At 38.5% G+C, this 11,707-nt stretch overlaps 1 pseudogene; it reads left to right on the top strand.

Moving 5' to 3' along the window:
* Nucleotides 9,265–10,027, top strand: RPLP0P7 (ribosomal protein lateral stalk subunit P0 pseudogene 7; annotated as a pseudogene).

The raw sequence follows: 11,707 nt of genomic DNA, 5'->3' as shown, positions 1-11,707 counted from the left end.
GCCAGGATGGTTCAGGGAGAGGTTACGTTGGAGAGCTTGGGACAGCTATATTTACCACTCCATAGAGAAGTAATCTAATACTTTAATAATCTGTGTGGTGAAGCCAGTGTGTACTGTCAGCTGACCAGTGACAATATTATCCATCCCGATTACTTCAGTTAATACATTACACACAGCATTACACAGGTAACCAACAAATCCACAACACTAGTCTTTTTTTTTTTTTTTTTTTTTTTGAGACGGAGTTTCGCTCTTATTGCCCAGGCTGGAGTGCAATGGTGTGATCTTGGCTCACCGAACCTCTGCCTCCCAGGTTCAAGCAATTCTCCTGCCTCAGCCTCCCGAGTAGCTGGGATTACAGGCATGTGCCACCACACCTGGCTAATTGTGTATTTTTAGTGGAGATGGGGTTTTTCCGTGTTGGTCAGGTTGGTCTCGAACTCCCAACCTCAGGTGATCTGCCCATTTTGGCCTCCCAAAGTGCTGGGATTACAGGCGTGAGCCACTGCGCCCAGCACACAACACTAGTCTTTAACTCACTTCCAATTGCAGACCTGTATTTCTAACAATATGTTATATATAGAAAAAAAATGATACTTTGTCAATGCCTCACAATCAACAAATAAAAAATTCAGTGGACTCTCTTCCCCTATAAACATAATCTTTCCATTGTCATATTTTTCCTTGTAAGGGCATTGCCTCCCATTTTGGCTCCCAGCCTAGAAACTTGAGACCATCTCTGACTTTACCTTCTTCCTTATCCTCAACGTCCTAATCGTCATCCTGTCTTGTCAGTTCTGCATCACAGATACCTCTGCTCTTCATCATCTTCTTTATTCCCACCATCATGGCTAGGTCAGCCACTCTCATACCTCTTGTTTAATTTATTGTAATAGTGCCAACTTCTCTTTCGACTGCCAGATTTCCACATCTCTTATTAATTGTTAAATGAAGATATAACTAGGATGACTTCTGTGCCTAACAAATTTGAAGACTCTGCCTTGATCAAAAACTCAGTTCAAATTTCTCTACCTCAAATTTACCAATTGACCTTTCCAGATTCATTTTGTACCCATACTCACACATTCTTATCATCCTTTTGTCAATTCTTACTCCCTAAACTAAATTAAGATCTTTCCACCTTTATACCTTTGCTCATGCAATTCCCTCTTCCTGGAAATTCCCCTTCCCTTCTCCCTTCTTATTCCATCAGGCTCACCTCCCCCAGGAAGGCTTTCCCAATGCTTTCAGACAAAAATCAGTCATTTCCTAATATGCGTCCTACATGTGTCTTTGTACCCTATCTTTGCCAGTAATCAGATTATGCCTTCTCTTATTTTGGCTCATAGATCACACACTTCTTGATATTTGGAACTATATCTGATGCCCAATAGTATTTAACACAGTACATTGAATAGAATATGTGCTTAATAAATACATGTGAAGTTAACTTGCAGTCCATCCATTAAGACATGATGATTCATGGATCAATTCCAACTAGGAGTACTGTATCGCCTCTTATCTGGGTCCTAGCATCTCACCAGTGAGTCAGAGCATCAGCTACTAGTTAAATACAAACTCCCCAAATCCACTGAGAACAAATATGATTTAAGTATTGCCAAATATCTCACAATAACAAATATACTACATAAAAGTGCTTTGTTTAATGGGTAAAACCTCAAAGAAATTTGTAGTCTATGTGATTAGACAAAAAAATATATTCTGTCTTGTCTGCGGATATCCCATTTATAATTCTTTTGGCCTATACCACTTCCCTTAAAAGTTGAACTGAAATCCTGCATAGTTAAGGTTTGGCATCATAGTATGAAAGATTTACCAACGAAATTGAGTTGTTTCTGTAAAGTATAGCAGCAATACAGGAAGCACTTTGAATACAATTCAAGATACATTTATTGTGCAGATACACTGGTGCTAACACTGTGGAGGATCAAAAAAGTTGGGATACATGATGTTTGCCACAAAGGATCCTATGATCATGTGGACAAGTACTATTCAAGGCCAGAACACATGAGAGACTCCCTTCTGAAAAATATTCCGAGAGATATCATTTAGATGGAGGTTGACATGGAAAATCTTGCAGGGAGTAAATTTAGTTTTTCCTATTTGATGAAGGATTATTTCTTAATGTAATATTCAAACATTTCTTGAAAGCTCACTATATATATGATGTACAAGGTAGTATTCTTGGTGCTGTGACCAAAGCTTAACAAGATAGAGTCATTGTCCATAAGGAACTTAACATGTCTCTAAATACTTTTAAATTTTATTTCATAAAAATTAATTTAACAATTACATATCTGTTGTGGTAGATGGCATAGTGAATATGACTCACAGAGTGCCATGTGTGAACTTGAGGTTTGATCTAATAGGGGCTCAATGTCTAATAGGGACTCAATGTCCAATATGTAAATTATGCATCATATGCTGTTCATAATAACAGAATCCAAAATATCCAAAATTTTATACATTTTACATAAAGGCAACTTAACACAATACCACCTCCCTTCCTGTTTATTTAATGTGAGACTTATACTTGAGTCCCCTAAACTATTTTTACCATCAATAATGTAACATGCATCTTAAAAATGTTTTTTCTGTATCAAGAAATGTATTTATTTTATTTTCTGGCAACTATTATCAACAGTTAATGAAATAAAAAACTATCATAATACCATACATCATTACCATGTTTGGCTTATGTAAAGATCAATGGTAGTCGATTAAATTTCCTTCAAAATTTCCAATCCAGATGACTCATATGTATTTGAAGCACATGGTAAATATTTCACTATAAAATAAAGAGTAATATCAAATGTATTTCTTTAATTAAATTCCTTGCTGTATGTTTTATTCACATGTGTATACAATGCAATTTGTATAGAATGCTAAGTAAAAAGTAGCAGTTAATTTGGGGGGCTACTGCTGTAAAAGTATGTTATCTTTTATATATATCACAGCATTACTTATTATCAGCTTCACACACAGCACTTTGCCTTTGATTTACACAAACACCTGTAAATGTTTTATATATTTGTGAGGAAGTGAATGATATTAGACCATCACTCCACGGGGACTGCAAATCAGGGGGAAAAAAAAGGCTATTACATTTCAGAAGCTGTTAAATCAGTTGTGCCCCCTGGCTGATTTTGTCAGCTATATTTGCTGTGGGTAAAACCGTTGATGCCTGGAATACTGGAGCGGCCCTGAGAGTGTTGAAGAGTAAATAGCAGCAGAGTTGTAAACTACACCCCACATCTCACACTTACCGCATAAGCCCAGCTTACACTTTCCTCTGAATAAATCCAGAGCTTAAAAAAGAGCAAGAGAGAGAAATAAAGAAAAGGGGAGGGCAAAACAAGGCAAAACTCGGCCCATGCCTTCTGTCACTGCCTCTAGGTTTAGCCCCTCAGCAGCCTGCCAACAGGACACTGTTCTGCCAGTTGTAAATTTTAATTGGCCATCTGGGGAAAGCACAAACCACTGACTAGAGATTAATCAGCAAATTAACCCAGGCATAATACACATTTCCCAGTGGACCCAAAGCAGCTCTAGGCTGGAGCAGAGCAGCCTGGGATGCTGGAGAACTTGTGTATAATGCTGTTATTGCTTACTGCCATGCAGTAGAACATCTTCTTGGAGTCCTGAAATTCCCGTCTGTGTGACCTTGTTAGTGCCCCTGATTTGTACGGCAGTTGCAAAGAGCCTTTTTTTCTTCTTCTTCTTTTTTTTTTTTGTAAAGTACTAAACACAGATGGTGCAGGTACTGTGATTGCTGGGAAAAGTGTTGATGAATCAGTGAAAGTGACAACTTTTCTCTAGTGGGCTATTCACTTGGTTTGCTAAAGTACCTATAGAAAGAAACAATAGTGTACCTGGATTTTTACCAGCTCAATGAATCACCAGAGAATCACATTTATTTAGCCAATTTCTTGTACTACAGGAAATGCCTTTGCACAGTCTCGTACTGGAAAAGCAAATTTGTGTATAATAAAGTTAAATCCTTCTTCAAGTCTAACTTACAGGGAATAATTTAAGCCAAATGTACATTTATATAGAATACTATGGCTTCAACTTGTTCAATAACACAGTCTTCTAATCAGCCCAGGGGCATTCTGTAAGCTGAGATAGGGAAAGAGGATAAAGACTAAAGGAAGAACATTTTAAGGTGATAAATACCCAAAAGGTAAAGTGAAGGGCTGGTAAGAAATTGCGAGTGGTTTTGATACAGGATGGAGTGAAAACACTTTGTGAAAGAATAGGCTTTACACAGCTTTTGGAATAATAAAAATGGTAGGGCTTCATGCATTACTATAAGCAGGGGTCTTTAGGATATGGAATATTATGAGATTCAGAAGTGGGAGTATACAGCCTAAATAAAGTACACACTGAATAAATTTGCTTGAGGGAAACTAAGGATGAAGCGGCCAGGCCAAATCAGTGAAGAACAGAGATTTTCCATCTTGTGGACAGTTGTATTTCCAGAAGGTGGCATGGAGAACTCAGCATAGTAGCATATAGCAGGCACTCAACACTTTTTAATAAAAGAAGGCATAGCCAACTTTAATAAAATTAGAAGCTAATATTATATTAGACATGCCTACTACTTGTTGCCTTTCCTGTCCATAGTCCATGCTGAATGCATGGTAGACCACATGACAAGTGACCTGACACATCACATTTGAGGCACCAATTTATAGGCTGACAAGGGACCTATGATATTATCTGGTGCAAAAACATATTTTTTTATTTTTCCATGAGTTATTAGGGTACAGATATTTGGTTACATGAGTAAGTTCTTTAGTGGTGATTTGTGAGATCCTGGTGCACCCATCACCTAAGCAGTATACACTGCACCATATTTGTAGTCCTTTATCCCTCACCCCCCTCCTACTCTTCCTCCCAAGTCCCCAAAGTCCATTGTATCATTCTTATACCTTTGTGTCCTCATAGCTTAGCTTCCACATATCAGTGAGAACAGATGATGTTTGGTTTTCCATTCCTGAGTTACTTCACTTAAAATAATAGTCTCTAATCTCATCCAGGTCACTGCAAATGCTGTTAATTCATTCTTTTTATGGCTGAGTAGTATTCCATCATATATATATATATATAGATATATAGATATCACAGTTTCTTTATCCACTTGTTGATTGATGTGCATTTGGGTTGGTTCCATGATTTTGTAGTTGTGAATTGTGCTGCTATAAACATGCTTGTGCAAGTATCTTTTCTGAGTAATGACTTCTTTTCTTCTGGGTAGATACCCAGTAGTGGGATTGCTGGATCAAATGGTAGTTCTATTAGTTCTTCAAGGAATCTCCTTACTGATTTCTATAATGGCTGTACTAGTTTACATTCCCACCAGCAGTGTAGAAGTGTTCCTTGATCACTGCATCCACACCAACATCTGTTTTTTTATTTTTTGATTATGGCCATTCTTATAGGAGTAAGGTGGTATCACATTGGGTTTTTGCTTTGCATTTCCCTAATCATTAGTGATTTTAAGCGTTTTTTCGTATGTTTGTTGGACATGTATATATCTTCTTTTGAGAATTTTCTATTCATGTTCTTAGCCCACTTTTTGATGGGATTGTTTATTTTTTTCTTACTGATTTGTTTGAGTTTGTTGTAGATTCTGGACATTAGTCCTTTGTCAGATGTATACATTGTAAAGATTTTCTCCCACTCTGTGGGTTGTCTGTTTACCCGGCTGACTGTTCCTTTTGCTGTGCAGAAGCTCTTTCATTTAATTAGGTCCCAGGTATTTATCTTTGTTTTTATTGTGTTTGCTTTTGGGTTCTTGGTCATGAAATTCTTGCCTAAGCCAACGTCTAGAAGAGTTTTTCTGATGTTATCTTCTAGAATTTTTATAGTTTCAGGTCTTAGGTTTAAGTCCTTAATCCATCTTGAGTTGATTTTTGTGTAAGGTGAAAGATAAGGATCCAGTTTCATTCTCCTACATGTGGCTAGCCAATTATCCCAGCACCATTTGTTGAAAAGGGTGTCATTCCCCTACTTTATGTTTTCATTTGCTTTGTCCAAGATCGGTTGGTTGTAACTACTGGGTTTATTTCTGGTTCTCTATTCTGTTCCATCAGTTTATGTGTCTATTTTTATACCAGCACCATGCTGTTTTGGTGACTGTGGCCTTATAGTATAGTTTGAAATCCGTTAACATGATGCCTCCAGATTTGTTCTTTTTGCTTAGTCTTGCTTTGGCTATGTGGTTCCATATGAATTTTAGAATTGCTTTATCTAATTCTGTAAATAATGATGATGGTATTTTGATAGAGATTGCATTGAATTTGTAGATTGCTTCTGGCAGTATGGTTATTTTCCCAATATTGATTCTACCCATCCAAGATCATGGGATGTGTTTCCATTTGTTTGTGTCGTCTATGATTTCTTTTAGCAGTGTTTTGTAGTTTTCCTTGTAGAGGACTTCCAACTCCTAGGTTAGGTATATTCCTAAGTATTTTACTTTTTTTTGCAGCTATTGTAACAAGGGTTGAGTTCTTGATTTGATTCTCCATTTGGTTGGTGTTGGCGTACAGAAGAGCTACTGATTTGTGTACATTAATCTTGTATCTGGAAACTTTGCTGAATTCTTTTATCAATTTTAGGAGCTTTCTGGAGGAGTCTTTAGGGTTTTCAGAGTAAATGATCATATCATCAGCAAACAGTGACAGCTTGACTTCCTCTTTACCAATTTGGATGCCCTTTATTTCTTTTTCTTTTTCTTTCTTTTTTTTTTTTTTTCAAGACAGAGTTTTGCTCTTGTTACCCAGGCTGGTATGCAATGGCGCTATCTCGGCTCACTGCAACCTCTGCCTACTGGATTCAAGCAACTCTCCTGCCTTAGCCTCCTGAGTAGCTGGGATTATAGGCATGCGCCACCATGCCCAGCTAATTTTTGTATTTTTAGCAGGGATGGAGTTTCACTATGTTGGTCAGGCTGGTCTCGAACTCCCGACCTCAAGTGATCCGCTGACCTCGGCTTTCCAAATTTCTGACAGGCATGAGCCACCGCACCTGGCCTATTGGATGCCCTTTATTTCTCTCTCTTGTCTGATTTGTGCAAAAACTTTGATCAAAACTTAGATGAATTCAGTCAGGTATGATGTTTCATGCCTGCAATCCCAGCACTTTGGGAGGCCGAGGCCAGCAGATCACCTGAGGTCAGGAGCTCAAGACCAGCCTGGCCAACATAACAAAACCCCATCTCTACTAAAAATACAAAAATTAGCCGGGCGTGGTGGTGCGCATCTGTAATCCCAGCTACTCAGGAGGCTGAGGCAGGAGAATTGCTTGATCCCAGGTGGCAGAGTTTGCAGTGAGCCAAGACCATGCCACTGCACTCCAGCCTGGGTGACAGAGCTAGGCTCCATCTCAAAAAAAAACAAAAAACAAAAAACAAGCAAAAAAAAAAACTTAGATGAATTGATCCAAATGGATTCTATTCTTCTATTCTTGGGAAATTTGAAAAAGGAAGCTTGAGAAACTCAGTTCCTTAGCAGTGAAACTTGTGACATAAAAGCTATGATAAAGAAAAGGACAAAGTAGAAAATGCAGTGATTTGAGATTCTGGGCCAGCAGAGGAAGCCAGTGTGTTGAAAGAGAAGAATGGAGTTGATTTGCTGGAAGGAGCAGCAAAGAGGAAGGCTGGCATCCCTAGAGATAGGAAGTGGACTCTCTATCCCAGTTCTACCTTATCTGAAGCCTACCTCTATCTCTTTCCCTGGTCTCTGATTTTATGAGAGTTGAGCAAGCTTACATGACATTCTGATTGTTGCACCAAAAGAACTTTGACCAGAGCAACCATGTAATAGCACCATCATAAACTAATGGCTTCAAAAGACAAATAAAATTAGTAACCTTCCCCCTACTTCCTACTACTAAACAGTGCACAGGATTTAGGAACTCTAAAGAATGTGGTCATTTTCAGAAATAAAAGTAATGGTGGATTTTTTCATACGGCTATGCTCTGACCTACCACTAAATCACGCAGACCCATTTCACCTGCCTCTGGCAAAATAGACTCTCTTCTTTCACAACCAGGTATGGATTTTTTTTCTGTTTTATTACATTATTGCAAGCAATGCTGCCTGCCAAACCACATGCCCTTAAACTGAAATGGCTTCTAGGCAAACACTGGATTATCTGTGACAGTAAATCAGTCAATATGCTTGGCCTAGGTACCACAGCAGTTAAATAGACATCTTTGGCTTCAGGAGGGGAAACCTTCCTTCAGATACCCAATTCAGCTTCTAATAAGGCCTTTTGAAAAGCTTTTTATTTAAATAGTATTTTAAATCACTGAGAAGTTTATTGTGAGATTTGATATGAGATATAAAGGCCTGGAAAGATAATAGACAACAGTTCTGAATTAAACACTGAATGCATAACAAGTAAAAGCAAAATATTTAAAGTTATTTTAACATTTAAATTATTCCACAAGAAAAAATTTTTGAGAGTCATGAAATGTCTGGCCACTGCTCACCATATATGAATTGAATGCTCTAGCTGTGTGTACTGCAAGCAGGAAATAATGCCTAACACAACAGTGTATCGGAGAGTAGACTCAGTGTTTTCGGTGCGCACTGGTGGATGGATTTCTTTATCTCCTCTGGGAGGGATAAGATCCAAAGGTTAGAACAGGCTCAAATAAATTCAGTTCAGTATGTGTGGTCTCTTCTGAATTATTTCAAAGCCTTACTGTCTAGCTTCAACCCTGTTCCCCTACTTCATGTTATCTCAATTATATATCTTTGAAAAATTGGAGAAAATAGTATTCATTTATTTGTAAAGACATTAGAGATTCTGGACATTAGAGGATGACTGAAGCACAAAAGTACAGAAGAATGTAAAGATAATCATTTCTATAGATCACCTATTGTTATGTTTGTCTTGTCACACATAGCTTTCCATATCTTCACATGTACCACATATTTTCAAGAAATAAAGAAGATATATACGTTGATATTTTTGTTTATATATTCCACCCCAAATATCTTAAACATAACTTGCTATCTTATATTTATATTATCTTTATATCTAAAAATAAAAGAGCTCCTCAGGGATGATTTTATACAGTGTGGCTAAAATGTAGAAATGGAGTCAAGGACGCTGAAACACTTGGTAATTAGGTAAATAATCACAGATTATTCACAGCGGTGCCTATTATACAGTAAAAAATAAGAAGTAAATTTATGTATTAGATTTGCTAAAATGTGACCAACAAGACTCTTGCCAGGTGTCCTAATGAAAGTGGTACTGTCTTTAAACCCTGCATGGCAATCCCTGATATGCCTCCATGATATCCAAGGAAGACAGGACAACCTGGAAGTCCAAACTCTTCCTTAAGAGCATCCAACTTTTAGATGATTAACCAAAATGCCTCATTGTGGAAGTGACATTGTGGGTTCCAAATAGATACAGATCCACATATACTTCTGAGGGAAGTCTGTGGAGCTGATGGACAAGAACACTATAATGCACAAGACCATCTGAGGCCATCCAGAAAACAACTCAGCTCTGGAGAAACTGTTGCCTCATATCTGAGGGAATGTGGGCTTTGTGTTCACCAAGGAGGTCTTCACTGAGATTAGGGACATACTGCTGGCCAATAGGTGCCAGCTGATATCTGTGCAGGTGCCATTGCTCCACCTGAAGTCACTGTACCAGCCCAGAACACTAGTCTGGGTCCCAAGAAGTCATTTTTCTTCCAGGCTTTAGGCATCACCACTAAAATCTCCAGGGTCACTATTGGAATCCTCAGTGATGTACAGCTGATGAGGACTGGAGACAAATTGGAAGCCAGTGAAGCCACACTGCTGAACATGCTGAACACTGCCCAGCTCTTCTCCTTTGGACTGATCATCAAGAGAGTGTTTAACAACAGCAGCATCTCCCACCCTTAAAGTCCTTGCCATCACAGAGGAAACTGCATTCTCACTTCCTGGAGGGTGTCCACAATGTTGCCAGTGTTTGCAGATTGATTACCCAATTAGATGTGAATTCTCTGAGGATTAAAATCAAAACTCAGCTTAGTATATTATCTAAAGCAGACAATCCATTAACTACTTGGTGAATAAGGGCACTAACATTTTTTGTGGGAGTGGTAGCACTAGAGACATGGGCAAAGAGTCTACATTCTTTAAATGGATTCCAGGACTAATCTTTAGTTTGAGGCAAAAGAAGTGTCAGATATTTTAGATATAATTAAAGATGTCCCTGGTTTTGCCTAATCTTGATTATTCTCTTCTTTCAGTTTGCTTTAAGTTTAATTTGCTTTTCTTTTTCCAGTGTCTTATAATTCCAGTGAAAGTTTGTTATTGATTTCAAATTCTTATTTTTTAATGTAGACATTTAATATATGTTATAAATTTCCCTTAAGCATTGCTTTAGCTACATTCCATAAGTTTTGATAGGCTGCTTTTTTCATTTTCACGCATATCAAACTATTTGCTAATTTCTCTTGTAGCTACTTTGACCCACTGGCTGCTTAGAAATGTGCTATTTAATTTTCAAGTTATATGTGGATTTCCTGAATTTTCTTTTGTTATTGATTTATAATTTTCATTATGGTTGGAGAACACACTTTGTATTATCTAAATTCCTTTCCATTTATTGAGGCTTGTTTTATGACCTAAGATGTAGTTTATCCTGGAGAATTCTCCATGTACACTTGAGAAAAATGTGTATTTTGCTGTTGTTTAGTGGAGTGTTCTATAGTTGTCTGTTAAGACTATAGTCATTTAAGACTTTTATTTCCTTGTCGATCCTTTGCCTAGATGTTTTATCTATCAATGAATGTGTGGTATTGAAGTATCCAGCTATTATTATTGTTGAATTATCTATTTTTCCCCTCAAGTCTGTAAGTTTTTCCTTCATGTATTTTGGGGCTCTGTTGTTAGGTGCATACATATTTATCATTATTATATTTTGGATAGATTGCTTCTGATATAATTTTAAATGTTGTCTCTAGTAATAATTTTTGCTTGAAATCTGTTGTGACCATTGCCATTCCAGCTTTCTTTTGGTTAGTGTTTGCATAACATATTTTTTCCATCCTTTTATTTCAACCTATTTGTATCTTCAGATCTAAAGGTTGTCTTCTGGGAGGAGCCAAGATGGCCTAATAGGAAAAGCTCCGGTCTACAGCTCCCAGCGTGAGTGACGCAGAAGACGGGTGATTTCTGCATTTCCATCTGAGGTACCGGGTTCATCTCACTAGGCAGTGCCAGACAGTGGGCGCAGGTCAGTGGGTGCGCGCACCATGCGCGAGCCAAAGCAGGGCGAGGCATTGCCTCACTCGGGAAGCGCAAGGGGTCAGGGAGCTCCCTTTCCTAGTCAAAGAAAGGGGTGACAGACAGCACTGGAAATTCGGGTCACTCTCACCCAAATACTGCGCTTTTCCAACGGGCTTAAAAAACGGCGCACCAGGAGATTATATCCCGCACATGGCTCGGAGGGTCCTACACCCACAGAGTCTTGCTGATTGCTAGCACAGCAGTCTGAGATCAAACTGCAAGGTGGCAGCGAGGCTGGGGGAGGGGTGCCCGCCATTGCCCAGGCTTGCTTAGGTAAACAAAGCAGCCGGGAAGCTCGAACTGGGTGGAGCCCACCACAGCTCAAGGAGGCCTGCCAGCCTCTGTAGGCTCCACCTCTGGGGGCAAGGCACAGA

The sequence above is a fragment of the Homo sapiens genome, chromosome 2 (assembly GCF_000001405.40).
Source record: "Homo sapiens chromosome 2, GRCh38.p14 Primary Assembly".
Lineage (NCBI taxonomy): Eukaryota > Metazoa > Chordata > Mammalia > Primates > Hominidae > Homo > Homo sapiens.
The sequence above is the reverse complement of the archived record's forward strand: the minus strand, read 5'-3'. Positions and strand labels throughout refer to the sequence as shown.